General features: G+C 47.6%; 1 long non-coding RNA gene across 1 annotated transcript, besides 2 other annotated features; it reads right to left on the bottom strand.

Moving 5' to 3' along the window:
- Window positions 1-824: 824 nt before the first annotated feature.
- Window positions 825-16,851, bottom strand: LOC124903507 (uncharacterized). Its single transcript, XR_007064679.1, has 3 exons — window positions 16,762-16,851; window positions 8,689-8,817; window positions 825-3,328 (listed from the first exon to the last, which is right to left on the bottom strand). It is a non-coding gene; the product is annotated as an uncharacterized LOC124903507 (long non-coding RNA).
- Window positions 2,827-3,327: an enhancer, noted in NCBI's record as "H3K4me1 hESC enhancer chr15:65010266-65010766 (GRCh37/hg19 assembly coordinates)". NCBI's record gives its function as "activates a minimal SCP1, AML or CMV promoter by ChIP-STARR-seq in naive H9 embryonic stem cells {active_cell/tissue: H9 hESC(naive)}" and the evidence as "EXISTENCE:reporter gene assay evidence [ECO:0000049][PMID:30033119]".
- Window positions 10,118-10,318: a silencer, noted in NCBI's record as "peak2370 fragment used in MPRA reporter construct". NCBI's record gives its function as "represses an SCP1 promoter by STARR-seq MPRAs in K562 erythroleukemia cells {active_cell/tissue: K562}" and the evidence as "EXISTENCE:reporter gene assay evidence [ECO:0000049][PMID:32103011]".
- Window positions 16,852-16,974: the final 123 nt, after the last annotated feature.

The raw sequence follows: 16,974 nt of genomic DNA, 5'->3' as shown, positions 1-16,974 counted from the left end.
TCCCAAAGTGCTGGGATTACAGGCGTGAGCCACCATGCCCAGCCTAAAAACTTCACTTTTAAAACAAGCTTTATTGAAGGGGTACATAATTTTTAAAAATGTTTAGGGTATGCATGAGCTAAATTATTGAAAGACTACAGTCTTGAGAGATGAGCTAGAGGTTGCTTGACAAAGGAGGAGGAGAAAGACGTTCTTTGTAGGAGAAAGAGGGTTCTGTGAGTGGACTTGTTCATGGAAGGGAGTAATCTGAGATAAACTGGAAATGTATCCATCCTGGGCAACAGAGAGATACCCTATCTCTACAAAAAATACAAAAAGTAGCTGGGCATGGTGGCATGTACCTGTAGTCCCAGCTACTCAGGAGGCTAAGGCAGGGTGTATCACCTGAGCCCAGGAGGTGGAGGTTGCAGTGAGCTGAGATCACGCTATTGCACTCCAGCCTGGGCACTGGAGTGAGACCATGTCTTAAAAAAAAAAAAAAAAAAGGCCAGGCGTGGTGGCTCACGCCTGTAATCCCAGCACTTTGGGAGGCCGAGGCAGGTGGATCACGAGGTCAGGAGATCGAGACCATCCTGCCTAACACAGTGAAACCCTGTCTCTACTAAAAATACAAAAAAAAAAAAAAAAAAAAAAAATTAGCTGGGCGTGGTGGCAGGTGCCTGTAGTCCCAGCTACTCAGGAGGCTGAGGCAGGAGAATGGTGTGAACTCGGGAGGCGGAGCTTGCAGCCTGGGTGACAAGAGTGAGACTCCGTCTCAAAAAAAAAAAAAAAAAAAACCTGGAAATGTAAGTTGGGGTCAGACTCACAGGAACTAGGCTGAGGCATTTCTGTTTATTATTAATTTTAATTACGCAAGTTTTGCATGATTACAATCTCCTTGTAAAAAACTGAAGCTTTATGAATAGGCCTGGGACTGTCACTTCCATTTCTGGTCTCCAGAGGTGACCTTGGTTTTCAGTTGATGCAAGTTCATCTGGCACATGCTGCAGGTCTCTCTGTGACAGAATGTCCGAGCTAAGGAGTTTTAGCTTCTTCACAGGGTCATTGGCAACCAGGGGCTGGGGTGGAGCTGAGAATTTCTACAGGACTTATTACTCCTTTGTGTTTTGCAACTGGGGTTGCTCACTTAGATAATAAGAGTTGTGATTTGGGAGTGAGGGAAGGAGTTGGGGGTAATTTTGGCGCAAGGCCTGTGACACTGTATTGTCAGCAGCTGTCATTAAGCACTGTGCCACTGGAAGGTAGAAGGGAGGGTGCAGAAAAGCTGATGGGAGGACATGAAATCCCATCTTTATTTGCTTATAGATAGGCCTGGCTGGGGTAGAAATGTGCTCGCTACAAACAGTGGCCCTCTTAGTTTCTTTCGTGTCCCCACTTTTTTTTTTTTTTTTTTTTAGTAGAGATGGGGTTTCTCCATGTTGCCCAGTTTGGTCTTAAACTCCTGGGCTCAAGTGATCCACCTGCCTCGGCCTCCCGAAGTGCTGGGATTACAGGCGTGAGCCACCACACCTGGCCATATCCCCACTTTTGAATGAGACGAGGGTACAGAAAACAGTGTAATAACCATTCAAGTGTGATGAGCAACAGCAACTCATACTCGGCCTCACTGCTGGAGACAATACAGAGTGGTGTGGACAGTGGCAAAATGGACAGTCCAAGGTCTTTCTAAAGGGTGGTCATTATTCAGCCCCATCAGCTGTGGTCCTGGGGCCATATGCATCAATGTTAGCCATATCGTCTGATTTTTCAAGAGACTGTAGAAATTGGGATTTTTTTTTTTTTTTTTTTTTTGAGACGGAGTTTCGCTCTGTCGCCCAGGCTGGAGTGCAGTGGTGTGATCTCAGCTCACGGCAACCTCCGCCCCCCAGGTTCAAGCGATTCTCCTGCCTCAGCCCCCCAAGCAGCTGGGTAGCTGGGACTGCAGGCATGGACCACCACACCTGGCTAATTCTTGTATTTTTAGTAGAGACGGGGTTTTGTCATGTTGGCCAGGCTGGTCTTGAACTCCTGACCTCAGGTGATCCACCTGCCTCGGCCTCCCAAAGTACTGGGATTATAGGCCTGAGCCACCTCACCCAGCCTCGGCTCAAACATTTCTTAAATGCTGTGTTGGCCAAATAAGCCATGTGCCTGCGGGCTGCATTTGGCCTATGGGCTGTTAGTTTGTGTTCTCTGTTTCAGAGTTTCTTGTCTTTGTATATCATCCCCGGCATGCCACTGGCTCTACGATCTACGTGGCTGTGGAGGATCCTGGCCTTCTTAGGTAGATGCTGTGAGAATGGCTGACTTCACTCCCCATGTCTAGTTTGCACCCATATTCTGATATCCAGTTAGTAATAGAGCTCTGCCAAGAAGCTGAGGGCTTAGCAGAAGGTTCCAGAAGCATCCCAGGGAAGTCAGTCAATCTAGATTCATTAGACGCCAAGACCCCTCCAGGGATTTGGTCCTGAGGCCTTCAGAGTCTTTCTCTCAGGCGTCAGGGCGGGTTCTTGTGCCTCTCCCAGGACAGAGCCCAGTGGGAACACAGGTTGGTGACTGTTTCTCAAAGGGCTTTGTCCTGTGACTGAAGCCAAGCAAGGGAGTCAGACACATGAAAACACACACACACACACACACACACACACACACACACACACACACCATCCCCCATACTTCCCAGACCTTTTCCCACGCAGTCCCAGGGCGGCCAGAAGGGCAGCTGGTCGTGGGAATGAACCGCAGCCTCCTCCCCCACTGGCAGCTCCACCCCGCTCCATCTACTCCTGGCCGTGCTGTCCCACCCCCAACCCCCTTATTACTTCCAGAGAAGGAAGTAGCAGAACAATGTGGCACATCAGAGAATGGGCACAGAGCCCAGAGCCCCGTGCCCAGGATGGGTCCCCAGCAGGCCGTGGGCTCTGATCCCTGGCTGCCCCGCTCCTGCTCAGGCGGCTTCCCCAAGGTGGCTTCCTAGACCTTCTCTCCATCTCTGGAAGCTCGGCATGGCGGCCACTCTTCTGCCTTTCCGAGGTTGGCCTCTTCCCCGTTGTGCGGTAGCCAGCGTGTGACCTACTTCCTTCCGTCCTTCCTCACCCACACTCCCCACACTCCATTTGGATAGAGTTCCCAGTCTGAGGGGCTGAAGCCAGGCTTTGATGGGGATTTTGGCCAGCGGGAGCAGGTGGGAAGAAAGGGTGATATTTTCTGAAGTTTTTCTCCAGAGGTCAGGCAAGGCAAGTTGTGAGAACAGAGATGGGGTTGGCTCAAGGGCGCCAGGGCCCCGAGGTCTCATTCTTGCTTCTGGATGGGGCTGTCTCTGCCTTGGCAGACGAGTGGAAATGCTCACAGGCTAGAGGAACAGAAAAAAAAATCACTAGTCATGCCCAGCTTCCTGGAGCTGGGAAGTTGGTGGGAACCATTACTTTTGTTTTTCCTGTTGGTCTAAAATAATGTTTTGCCTGGGACCGGAACCCTACGCCCCAGGCAGGACTACCCCTCACTCACTTCCAGCTCTAGTGCTTTCAACTGCTTCACCTTCCGCCAGGCGCTTCCTGCCCTGTGAGCCAAGGGGCAGGGCTCCTCACAAGTCTTTTGCTGCCTCTAGAAGCCAGTTCCTCCCTCCGCCCCCAACCATGATCCTGACTCAAGGGTTGGTAGTGGGATCCAAGCTAGACCTTATGAGGTGGCTCAAGTGACCACTTGGAAAAGTCTTTATCGCGGAAAAGAACCCTAAGAGTCTACTCCCAACCTCAAATTTTAGCTGAGAAACAGAGGTACAAAGAGCACATGTGCCTTGCCAGGATCAGCAGCCAGGAAAAGGGGGAGAACCAGGACTCGCAGGTTTTCTGACTCTTTGGTGATGTCCTTAAGGAACACCGTGCAATGTTGAAAGGCAGCTTTGGGAGGGAGCAGAAGAAAAATGCCAGGCTCTTGACATCCTGATCTTGCTTGGGCCTCAGAGAACCTTTATTTTTAATTTCCTTTTTCAGGGCTTTGGGCTCTATTTTCACCTTGAAAAAGTGGCGTTGAATTGTCTTTGTTCTCAGCAGAGAGCTGACACCTGTTCTTCTCAGCGCCTCCTGCACTCGCGGGCTGAGCGGCCCACTTCTGCACTGATGCTGCTGTCTTCTCGTGCTTCTGCCTTGTTTCAGATATGTAAGTTACATCTCTCCAACTCTGCTGTAAGCTTTCATGCTTTAAATTTCTTCACTGAATTTTGCCATACACAAAAGTATTCACTGAGCACCTCATGTGGCCCAGGCTCTTCGCTTCTTACCCACCTGGAGCTTTCAGTCCAACACGAGTGTCACACAATGAACATGGAAGCAGCAGATGAATGCATTACAGATATGCCATGAGGGAATACACAGGGAACAGGGATGCTGCCAAGGGCTCTCTGAGGATGGGGAGCCAGCCCCGCCTCAGGAGGATCTGGGGAAGGGTGGTCCAGGTCAGGGAATAGTAAGAGGCTGGTCCTGTTTGAGGCCCTGAGAAGAAGCCAGGGTTGCTCCACCAAAGAGAGGAGCACAGGATGAGGCTGGAGGGGCAGGAGGGCTTAGATCCTCTAGGGCTTTTTTGTTTTGTTTTGTTTTTAGAGAGAGGGTCTCCCTCTGCTGCCCAGATGTCTCACTCTGCTACAGTACAGTGGTGCAGTCATACATAGCTCAGTTGCAGCCTCAAATTCCCGGGCTTATGTGATCCTCCCACCTCAGCCTCCTGGGAGTAGCTGGGACTACAGGAGTGTGCCACCATGCCTGGCTAATTATTAACTTTTTTTGTAGAGATAGGCTCTCCCTATGTTGCCCAGTCTGGTCTCAAACTCCTGGGCTCAAATGATCCTCCCACTTCAGCCTCCTGAATAGCTAGGACTACATGTATGCACCACAACACTTGGCCAGCTTTTTTTTTTTTTTTCCTGTCTTGAGACTGAGCCTCAGTCCGTTGCCCAGGCTGGAGTGCAGTGGCGCGATCGCAGCTCACTGCAACCTTCACCTCCTGGGTTCAAGAGAGTCTCCTGCCTCAGTCTCCCGAGTAGCTGGGACCACAGGTGTGCACCACCACGCCTGGCTAATGTTTGTATTTTTAGGAGAGGTGGAGGTCTCAAACTTCTGGCCTCAAGTGATCCGCCCACCTCAGCCTCCCAAAGTGCTGGGATTATAGGTGTGAGCCACTGCGGCTGGGCTAATTTTGTTTTTTGTAGAGACAAGTTCTCACTATGTTGCCCAGGCTAGTCTTGAACTCCTGGGCTCAAGTGATCCTCCTGCCTTGGCCTCCCAAAGTGTTAGGATTACAGAAGTAAGCTTCTGGGCTCAGCTCACATTTTTTAATACATTTTATTACATTTATATGTATGGTTTTTACCTACATGCCAACTTAGCACATCATATATATATATATATATATATACACACACACACACACACACACACACACACGTGTATATATATATATACGTGTATATATATACGTGTATATATATATACGTGTGTATATATATACGTGTATATATATACGTGTGTATATATATACGTGTACATATATACGTGTGTATATATATACGTGTGTATATATATACGTGTATATATATATATACGTGTGTATATATATACACATGTCTTGCTCTGTCACCGAGGCTGGAGTGCAGTGGTGTTGATCTCAGCTCACTGCAACCTCCATCTTCCAGGGTCAAGTGATTTTCCCACCTCAGCCTCTCAAGTAGCTGGGACTACAGGTACATGCCATCACGCCTGGCTAATTTTTGGTGGACTCAGGATTTCACCATGTTGGCCAGGCTAGTCTCAAACTCCTGGCCTCAAGTGATCCACCCGCCTTGGCCTCCCAAAGTGCTGAGATTACAGGCGTGAGCCACCACGTCCCGCCAATAAAATGTTTAGTTAAAAAAACTGGCTGGGCCCGGTGGCTCACACCTGTAATCCCAGCACTTTGGGAGGCTGAGGTGGGTGGATCACGAGGTCAAGAGATCGAAACCATCTTGGCTAACATGGTGAAATCCCGTCTCTACTAAAAATACAAAAAATTAGCCGGGCATGGTGGCGGGCACTTGTAGTCCCAGCTACTCAGGAGGCTGAGGCAGGAGAATGGCGTGAACCTGGGAGGCGGAGCTTGCAGTGAGCCGAGATCACGCCACTGCACTCCAGCCGGGACGACAGAGTGAGACTCCATCTCAAAAAAAAAAAAAAAAAACTACAGGCCGGGTGCAGTGGCTCACGCCTGTAATCCAAGCACTTTGGGATGCTGAGGCAGGTGGATCATGAGGTCAGAAGATTGAGACCATCCTGGCTAATACAAAAAAATACAATATATACAAAAAAATACAATATAATAAAAAAAATACAAAAAATTAGCTGAGCATGGTGGCAGGCACCTGTAGTCCCAGCTACTCGGGAGGCTGAGGCAGGAGAATGGCGTGAACCCAGGAGGTGGAACTTGCAGTGAGCCGAGATTGAGCCACTGTACTCCAGTCTGGGCGACAGAGACTCTGTCTCAAAAAAACAAAAACAAAAACAAAACCTATATAGACTGGTCATCATGGTGAAACCCCATCTCCACTAAAAATACAAAAATTGGCAGGGCGCAGTGGCTCATGCCTGTAATCCCAGCATTTTGGGAGGCCGAGGCGGGCAGATCACCTGAGATCCAGAGTTCGAGACCAGCCTGGCCAACGTAGTAAAACCCTGTCTCTACTAAAAATACAAAAATTAGCCAGGAGTGATGGTGCATGCCTGTAATCACAGCTACTCGGGAGGGTGAGGCAGGATAATTGCTTGAACCTGGGGGGTGGAGGTTGCAGTGAGCCGAGATCACGCCATTGCACTCTAGCCTGGGCAACAAGGGCAAAACTGTCTCAAAAAAAAAAAAAAAAAAAAAGTAGTTGGGTGTAGTGGCGTACACCTGTAATCCCAGCTACCCAGGAGGCTGAGGCACAAGAATTGCTTGAACTCGGGAGGCAGAGGTTGCAGTGAGCCAAGACGGTGCCACTGCACTCCAGCATGGGCAGCACAGCAAGACTCTATCTCAAAAAGAGAAAAAAAGGCTGGGCACGGTGGCTCACGCCTGTAATCCCAGCACTTTGGGAGGCCAAGGCAGGCGGATCACGAGGTCAGGAGATCGAGACCATCTCCACTAAAAATACAAAAAAATTAGCCGGGCATGGTGGCGGGCGCCTGTAGTCCCAGCTACTCGGGAGGCTGAGGCAGGAGAATGGCATGAACCCGGTAGGCGGAGCTTGCCGTGAGCCGAGATTGCACCACTGCACTCCAGCCTGGGTGACAGAGTGAGACTCCGTCTCAAAAAAAAAAAAACAAAAAAACGCTTTATTGAGGTAATTGTAGACTTACATGCAATAAGAAGTAATAGTGAGAGATCCCTTACACACTTTTCCCAGTTACCCCAGTGGTAGCATTCTACAAAACTATCGCACAGTATCATAACCAGGATATCGACATTGATAAAATCCACCAAACTTACTCAGATGTCCCCAGTTTTATTTGTACTAGTGTGTGAGTGTGTGTGTGTGTGTGTGTGTGTATGGGTGTGTAGTTCAATACAATTTCATCACACATGTAGGTTCGTATATCCTCCACTGCTGAACAGTTCCAATACCACAAAGATCCCTCAGGGTTGCCCTTTGATATCCACACGTGTTTCCCTCCTGACTCCTCCCAGGCCCCATTCCAAACTCCTGGCAACCTTCATTTTGAAAATTTTGTTATCTCTCTCTTTTTTTTTTGGGGGGATGGAATTTCGCTTTTGTTGTCCAGGCTGGAAGCAATGGAGCAATCTTGGCTCACTGCAACCTACGCCTTCCGGGTTCAAGAGATTCTCCTGCCTCAGCCTTCCGAGTAACTGAGATTATAGGTGCCCACCACCACAGTGACTGATTTTTTTAAATTTTTGGTAGAGATGGGGTTTTGCCATATTGACCAGGCTGGTCTCAAACTCCTGGCCTCAGGTGATCTGCCCATCTCGGCCTCCCACAGTGCTAGGATTATAGGCGTGAGCTACCATGCCCGGTCGAAAATTTTGTCATTTCAAAAACCGTTATATAAGGCCGGGTGCGGTGGCTCACACCTGTAATCCCAGCACTTTGGAAGCCCGAGGCAGGTGAATCATCTGAGGCCAGAAGTTCAAGACCAGCCTGGCCAACATGGTGAAACCCCGTCTCTCCTAAAAATAAAAAAATTAGCCAGTCATGGTGGTACACACCTGTAATCACAGCTACTCAGGAGGCTGAGGCAGGAGAATTGCTTGAACCCAGGAGGCGAAGGCTGCAGTGGACGAGATTGTGCCACTGCACTCCAACGTGGGTGACAGAACGAGACCCTGTCTCAAAAAACAAAAAAACCAGGCTGGGCGTGGTGACTCCCGCCTGTAATCCCAGCACTTTGGGAGGCTGAGGTGGGCGGATCACGAGGTCAGGAGATCGAGACCATCCTGGCTAACACGGTGAAACCCCGTCTCTACTAAAAATACAAAAGATTAGCCAGGCGTGGTAGCGGGCACCTGTAGTCCCAGCTACTTGGGAGGGAGGCTGAGGCAGGAGAATGGCATGAACCCAGGAGGCAGAGCTTGCAGTGAGCCGAGATTGCGCCACTGCACTCCAGCATGGGCTACAGCGCGAGACTGTGTCTCAAAAAACAAAAACAAAAAAACAAGCTGTTATATAAATAGAATCATACAGTATGTAACCTTTTTAAAATCAGGGCCAGGCTCGTTGGCTCATGTCTGTAATCCCAGCACTTTGGGAGGATGCGGCAGGAGGATTGCTTGATTCCAGGAGTTTCAGACCAGCCTGGGCAACATAGTGAGATCCCATCTCTACAAAAAATAAAAAAATTAGCCTGATGTGGTGCACACTTATAGTCCCAGCTACTTGTGAGGCTGAGGTGGGAGGATCACTTGAGATTGGAAGTTAGAGGTGAGGCTGCAGTGAACTGTGATCATGCCACTACATGCCAGTCTGGGCCACAGAGTGAGACCCTGTCTCAAAACAACAACAAATAACCAGCATAATTCCTTGGAGAGTCATCCAAGTTGCTGTGTGTTGATAGTTCATTCCTGTTTGTTGCTGAGCAATATTCCATGGTGTGGATGCACCATGGTTTCTTTAACCATTCACCTACTGAAGGATACCTGAGCTAATTTTAAGTTTTTGCTATTATTATGGATAAAGCTGCTATGAACATATATGTACCGGTTTTTGTGTGAACATAAGTCTTCATTTCTCTGGGATAAATGCCCAGGCATGCAATTTCTTGGTCATGTGGTAGCTGCATGTTTAGTTTTTTAAGAAAATGCCAAACTGTTTTCCAGAGTGACTATGTTACTTTTTTTTTTTTTTTTTTTTTTGAGACAGAGTCTCGCTCTGTCGCCCAGGCTGGGATGCAGTGGAGCAATCTTGGCTCACTGCAACCTCCACCTCCTGGGTTCAAGTGAGTCTCTTGCCTCAGCCTCCTGAGTAGCTGGGACTACAGGTGTGTGCCACCATGCCTGGCTAATTATTGTATTTTTAGTAGAGGCGGGGTTTCACTATATTGGTCAGGTTGGTCTTGAACTCCTGATCTTGTGATCTGCCCGCCTCGGCCTCCCAAAGTGCTGGGATTACAGGCGTGAGCCACTGCACCCAGCCTGTGTTACTATTTTTTAAAGACTAGAGAGCATGTTTGTGTGCTGAAGGGGGAGATTTAGATTTTAGGAACTAGGTCCTTGAAGATGGGAGAGAGGAAGTTCCATAGGTTTTGCCGTGGGATTGGCTAGTTTTTATTGGCTAGTTTTTTTTTTTTTTTTTTTTTTTTTTTTTTTTTTTTTTATAGACAGGGTCATCCAGGCTGGAGTGCAGTGGCATGATCACAGCTCACTGTAGCCTCAACCTCCTGGGCCCAAGCTATCCTCCTACCTCAGCCTCCCAAGTAGCTGGGACTACAGGGGTGTATCAGCACGCCTGGCTAATTTTTTACATTTTTTTGTAGAGATGGGGGTCTCTTTACATTGCCCAGGCTGGTCTCAAACTCCTGGGCTCAAGCAATCTGCCTGCCTTGGCCTCCCAAACTCCTGGGATTATAGGTGTGAGCCACTGTGCCTGGCCAGGATTGGCTAGTCTTTAGCAAAGGGACATCCACTTCTCAGAGCACTAGGAGGAGACAGATGTAAGTAGGCGGAGATGCAGATGGGTTTGTAGGCTGTGGTAGGAATGACAGGGTATTTCCTATTGCTTCTATTTCCTTAGTAACATGGTGGCTAGGTCATCAGCTAAGATGAGAGGGGTAGAGGTTTTGCAGAGAGAGCCTAGGGAAAAAATTCTTCTTGAGAGTGGAAAAGCAAACTTAATGGGGAAACGTAGTAGGAATTACCCAGCAGTATTGACAGTCCGTTTGAGGTTAGGATCATGAACATGAGTGAAGATAACCTGCCTGGTATTGTGATTTTGCTGTAGCAAAAGCACTCGGAAAGCAAATGGTTGAATTTATGTGGAGTAGGGCTTTGCCAGGCAAGCACAATGGGAGGAGACAGAGGGAAGGAGTAGTTATAGTGATGGATGATAGACAAGCTAGAAAAGGCTGGGCGTGGTGGCTCATGCCTGTAATCTCAGCACTTTGGGAGGCCAAGGCGGGCAGATCATTTGAGCCCAGGAATTCAAGACCAGCCTGGGCAATATGGCGAAACCCCATCTCCACCCAAAATACAAAAATTAGCTGGGTATGGTGGCATGTGCCTGTAGTCCCAGCTACTTGGGAGGCTGAGGCAGGAGAATCCAGGAGGCAGAGGTTGCAGTGAGCCGAGATGGCGCCACTGGACTCCAGACTAGGTGACAGAGCAAGACCCTGTCTTAAAAAAAAAAAAAAAAGCCGGGCACGGTGACTCACGCCTGTAATCCCAGCACTTTGGGAGGCCGAGGCAGGTGGATCACAAGGTCAGGAGTTCAAGACCAGCCTGGCCAAGATGGTGAAATCCTGTCTTTACTAAAAATACAAAAATTAGCCAGGTGTTGTGATGGGTGCTTGTGATCCCAGCTACTCGGGAGGCTGAGTCAGAGAACTGCTTGAATCTGGGAGGCGGAGGTTGCAGTGAGCAGAGATCACACCACTGCACTCCAGCCTGGGCAACAGAGCAAGACTGTCTCAAAAAAAAAAAAAAAAGAAAAGAAAAAAAGAAGCTAGAAAAGAAGGGATCTGGGAGCTGAGATTGCACAATTATACTCCATCCTCAGCGACAGAGTGCAAAAAAAAAAAAAGACCGGGCACGGTGGCTCACGCCTGTAATCCCAGCACTCTGGGAGGCCGAGGCAGGTGGATCACAAGGTCAAGAGATCAAGACCATCCTGGCTAACACGGTGAAACCCCGTCTCTACTAAAAATACAAAAAATTAGCTGGGCATGGTGGCGGGCGCCTGTAGTCCTAGCTACACGGGAGGCTGAGGCAGGAGAATGGCATGAACCCAGGAGGCAGAGCTTGCAGTGAGCCGAGATCGCGCCACTGCACTCCAGCCTGGGTGACAGAGTGAGACTCCATCTCAAAAAAAAAAATAAAAAAAAAATAAAAAGAAAAGAAGAGATGTGAGTCAAAATTAGGACTACTATTATATTATTAAAAAGATAAAAGATGGTCAGGCATGGTGGCTCATGCCTGTTATCTCAGCACTTTGGGAGGCTGAGGTGGGTGGATCACTTGAGGTCAGGAGTTCAAGACCAGCCTGGCCAACATGGAGAAACCCTGTCTCTACTAAAAATACAAAAACTAGATGGGTGTGGTGGTGGGTGCCTGTAATCCCAGCTACTTGGGAGGCTGAAGCAGGAGAATCACTTGAGCCCAGGAGGTGGAGCTTGCAGTGAGCTGCAATCACGTCACTGCACTCCAGCCTGGACAACAGAGTGAAACTCCATCTCAAAGAAAAAACAAGACAAAAGACAAGTGTTGGTCTGGATGCAGAGAAAAGGGAACCCTTGCACCCTGTTGGTGGGAATGTGAATTAGTATAGCCTTTATGGAAAACAGTATGGCGGTTCCTCAAAACATTAAGAATAGTCTGGGCATGGAGGCTCATGCCTATAATCCCAGCACTTTGGGAGGCCAAGGCAGGCAAATCACAAGGTCAGGAGTTTGAGACCAGCTTGGCCAACATGGTGAAACCCTGTCTCTACTAAAAATACAAAAAATTAGCTGGGCGTGGTGGCGTGTGCCTGTAATCTCAGCTACTCCGGAGGCTGAGATAGGAGAATCGCTTGAACCTGGGAGGCGGAGGTTGCAGTGAGCTGAGATCGCTCCGCTGCACTCCAGCCTGGGTGAGAGAGTGAGACTCCATCTCAAAATAAAAAATAAAAAACATTAAGAATAGAACTACTTTATGATCCAGGAATCCCACTACTGGGTATATATCCAAAGGACCTGAAATTAGCATGTCAAAGAGATTTGTATTCCCATGTTCATTGCAGCATTATTCACAACAGCCAACACATGGAAACAACCACAGTGCCCAACAACACACGAATGAATAAAGAAAAATGTACATATAGACAACGGGGTACTATTCAGCCTTAAAAAAAGAAGGAAACTGTATCATTTGCGACAACATGGATGAACCTGGGAGATGTTATGTTATGTGAAATAAACCAGGCACAAAACAAGAAATACTGCATGATTTCACTTACATGTAGAGTGTGAAAAAAATCAAGCTTAGACCAAGAATGGTGGCTCAGACCTGTAATCCCATTCATTGCTTTGGGAGGCTGAGACAGGAGGATCCCTTGAGACCAGGAGTTTGAGACCAGCCTGGGCAACACAGGGAAACCCTGTCTCTGGAGAAAAGAGTAAAAAACAATTAGCTAGGCATGGTGGCATGTGCCTGTGGTCCTAGCTACTCGGTAGGCTGAGGCAGGAGGATCCTTTCAGGCCAGGAATTTGAGGCTCCAGTGAGCTATGCTGGTTCCACTGCACTCCAGCCTAGGCAAAAGAATGAGACCCTGTGTCAAATAAACAAAACAAAAAGTCAAACTCATAGAAATAGAGAGTAAAATGATGGTCACCAGAGGCCGGGGGCAGGTAGAGGAATTGGAAAAGTGTTAGTCAAAGGACACAAATTTTCAGTTAGACAAGAGGAGTAAGTTCAAGAGATCTATGTTACATCATGATGGCTAGAGTTAACAACATAGTGTATATTTGCAAAAAAATGATAAGGATGTAAGATAATAAATATGTTAAAAAGCTTGATTTGGCCGGGTGCAGTGGCTCATGCCTGTAATCCCAGCACTTTGGGAGACTGAGGTGTGCGGATCACTTGAGGTCAGGAGTTCGAGACCAGCCTGGCCAACATGGCAAAACCCCGTCTCTACTAAAAATACAAAAATTAGCCAGGCTTGGTGGCGCAAGCCTGTAATCCCAGCTATTCAGGAGGCTAAGGCAGGAGAATCGCTTGAACCTGGGAGGTGGAAGTTGCAGTGAGCCAAGATCGTGCCACTGCACTCTGGCCTGGGTGACAGAGCGAGACTCCGTCTCAAAAAAAAAAAAAAAAAAAAAAAAATTTAATCATTGATTAACTCTTCTACAATGTATACATATATGAAAACGTGATGTACACCATAAATGTATACAATCTTTGTTAAAATTTTAAAAATATGCATAAAGAAATAATGATTTTTGTGGGAACTATTTTAACATAATTTCACACTTATGGTTCTCGACTACTTTTCTAATAAACTACTATCTCTCTTTGCCAAGGGAAACAGAAAAAAACAGTATCATTAGCTGGCAGTGGACTCAAATAGGAGAGTTTCAGTTATTCCAAATTTCTGTGGCTTACCATATAATTCAGTCCTATGTAAAAATCTGCAATTGGTAACAGTGACTACTGAGTTTGGACCCAAGTATTTGCACTAAAGCTTTGACACATTAGATAGGTTCCTTTCGTTTTCTTTTTTCTTTTTTTCTGAGACGGAGTCTCACTCTGTTGCCCAGGTTGGAGTGCAGTGGTGTGATCTCAGCTCACTGCAAGTTCCGCCTCCCAGGTTCACGCCATTCTCCTGCCTCAGCCTCCCGAGTAGCTGGGACTACAGGTGCCCTCCACCACGCCCGGCTAATTTTTTGTATTTTTAGTAGAGACGGGGTTTCACCATGTTAGCCAGGATGGCCTCGATCTCCTGACCTCATGATCCGCCCGCCTCGGCCTCCCAAAGTGCTGGGATTACAGGCGTGAGCCACAACGCCCGGCCTCTTTTGTTTTTTAAGTTGAGGCAGGGTCTTAGTCTGTCACCCAGGCTGGAATGCAGTGGTGCAGTCACAGCTCACTGCAGCCTTGACCTCCCAGGCTCAAGCGATCCTCCTACTGCAGCCTCCCGAGTAGTTGGAACCACAGGTGTGTGTCCCCACGCTGGCTTTTTTTTAAAATTTTTATAGGGTCTCCTCATTACCCACAGCTAATCTTAAACTCCTGGGCTCAAGTGATCCTCCCACTTCGGCCTCTCAAAGTGTTGAGATTATAGGAATGAGTTGCCACGCTCAGTCATAGACAGGTTACTTTCTCATCTCTCTTAACAAGTTTCTTCCTCTTAAAAAAAACAAACAAAAAACTTAGGGCTAATGAATAGTGAGGAATTAGTGAGGTCAAGCGTTAAGCTCCTGATACAGGTCAAAGACTTGTTGAAAGGTTTAATTAAGGCAAAGGTTATGGTTGGAGAGTCAATATTTTGGACGTGAAATGATTTTTGGTGAAAACAAAGTTGAGGGTGTGTTAGCAGCTACAGTGGAGTGCTGAAAATCTTACCGGAGATGAGAAAGTCGAGGAAGTGAGAGGAGCGTGGCTGAGAGGCCATCATGTGGACCTTGAGCTCACCAAATATGACAAAATTTGGGGCGGAGAGGCAGCAAGCCATGAGCCAAATAAGGGGCATCAACCAGGAGGCTGGCTAATGACATTAACCAAGATAGTATATCTAGAGGGTGAAGCCCCAATGGAACAGGGATTTTGTGGGAGGGAGGGGAAGATAAACACTGGTCTAGAAATGGCATTGGGATGGAGAGGAATACACTTACCCACTTCTGACACTGAGGCACGTGAGAATGAGAAACAGAATTCACCTAATAGAGCTGCTGGAGAAGCAGCGGTTAGTGGATAGCCAAGTTTCAGATAAAGCAAGGATGCTGAGAAAAGGCTGAGGATGTGGAAGAGTTTGCTGATCACACGTTGCAGAAGGCACAGTGGGAGGGTATGGTTAGGAGCAGGAAGCAGAGTCTGATAGATTGCCAGTGTGAGGGCAATGGATGAGAAGGGACTTGAACCTGTGGTGGTGACTGGGGTAGACAGGGATAGAGGGGTGATGGGATATAGTGCTGTTGTAGAAGTTTCTGTGATGATAGACATGTTCCATATGTATACTGTGTAATACTGTGGCTGCTAGCCACATATGGCTATTAAGCATATGAAATGTGGCTAGTGGGCCGGGCGCGGTGGCTCATGCCTGTAATTCCCAGCACTTTGGGAGGCCGAGGCAGGTGGATCACTTGAGGTCAGGAGTTCGAGACTGGCCTGGCCAACATGGTGAAACCCCGTCTCTACTTAAACTATAAAAATTAGCCGGGTGTGGTGGTGGGCGCCTGTAATCCCAGCTACTCGGGAGGCTGAGACAGAAGAATTGCTTGAACCTGGGAGGCAGAGGTTGCAGTGAGCTGAGATCATCCCACTGCACTCCAGCTTAGGTGACAGAATGAGACTCGGTTTCAAACAAAAGAAAAAGAAATGTGGCTAGTGGGACTGAGGAATTGAACTTTTAACTTTATTTCATGTTAATTAATTTAGATTTGAAGACCTCAGTTTTTGTGAATTTTTCACTTGCTGACCAGGTGGCTATCAGGGTGGCCACTCCTTTAAACAGAAAGCTGTCCAGAGAGCTTCTGACTCTTCCACCATGCAGATCCAGAGAAAGCACAGGATCAGGCAACTTGGGATCCAAATTCTAACTATACCACTTAATCGCTTTGAATTAAAGCTAGCATGTTAACATGTCTGGTATAGACAGACCCTCAATAAATATTGGATGACAGAATAAATCTCTCTGAGGTTTAATTCTCTTCATCCTTAAAACGAGGGTGGAGAGCTGTTCTAAAATTTAGTACTTTACCCATGATGCTCAATAAATGGTCGCTATTATTGACATAGTGAGTTCTCAATATTTGTTGATTCATGGGTCAAAAACTGTCCTTCAGGTTAAAGGGTTACTTGGCCAGGAATGGGCTGGCAGAAGTGAGACATTCCAGCTCCCTCTGAGGGTCCAGGAGGATTGCCCAGGTCTCTGGGACTATGCGATGGGGTAGATCAGGGCTGGGTTTAAATGTCCAATTTTGCTAAGTACTAATGTAAGAACATACCTGACTTGAACCTGGAGGAGTAGGTAGGGATAGCTGAGGGACAAAGTGGAGGATCTTAAAGTGAACCAGAGTATGAGACCAGCCTTGCCTGAATATCTAGTGATAATCCGGGCAGTTTCGGTATCATTTACCACTTTAATTTGTGTTGAAAAAGCCTTAGCTTGGTAGCTCCAGCCTTCCTTCTGTGCCTCCATCCCCATCATCCAAAACCCAAAAGCATGCTGTTTGTGAAGGAGAGTAACCATATCCTGAGATGACTCCAATGTGAGATGTTTGTGAACTGAAAGTCATAGTGACCGCCGATCTGGAGTGTCACCCTTTCTCTGAGTTATCACTCTTTCTGCAAAGCTGTCCCTAATTCCCTAAATTACTTTCTCTGTGGCATTCCTCAGATTGAGCACTTACTTACCTGGTATTGTGATGACCTGTGTCTCTCCCCTTGACCGGATTGTGACATCCAAGGCAGGAACCTTGCCTGGTTGATTATGGCGTATTCTTGGACTCTAGCACATGCCTGGAGCATACAGTAAGTAGCTATTCAATAATTATTTGTTGGCCGGGTGCGGTGGCTCATGCCTGTAATCCCAGTACTTTTGGAGGCCGAGGCAGGTGGATCACCTGA

The sequence above is a fragment of the Homo sapiens genome, chromosome 15, assembly GCF_000001405.40.
Source record: "Homo sapiens chromosome 15, GRCh38.p14 Primary Assembly".
NCBI classification, from domain to species: domain Eukaryota; kingdom Metazoa; phylum Chordata; class Mammalia; order Primates; family Hominidae; genus Homo; species Homo sapiens.
The sequence above is the reverse complement of the archived record's forward strand: the minus strand, read 5'-3'. Positions and strand labels throughout refer to the sequence as shown.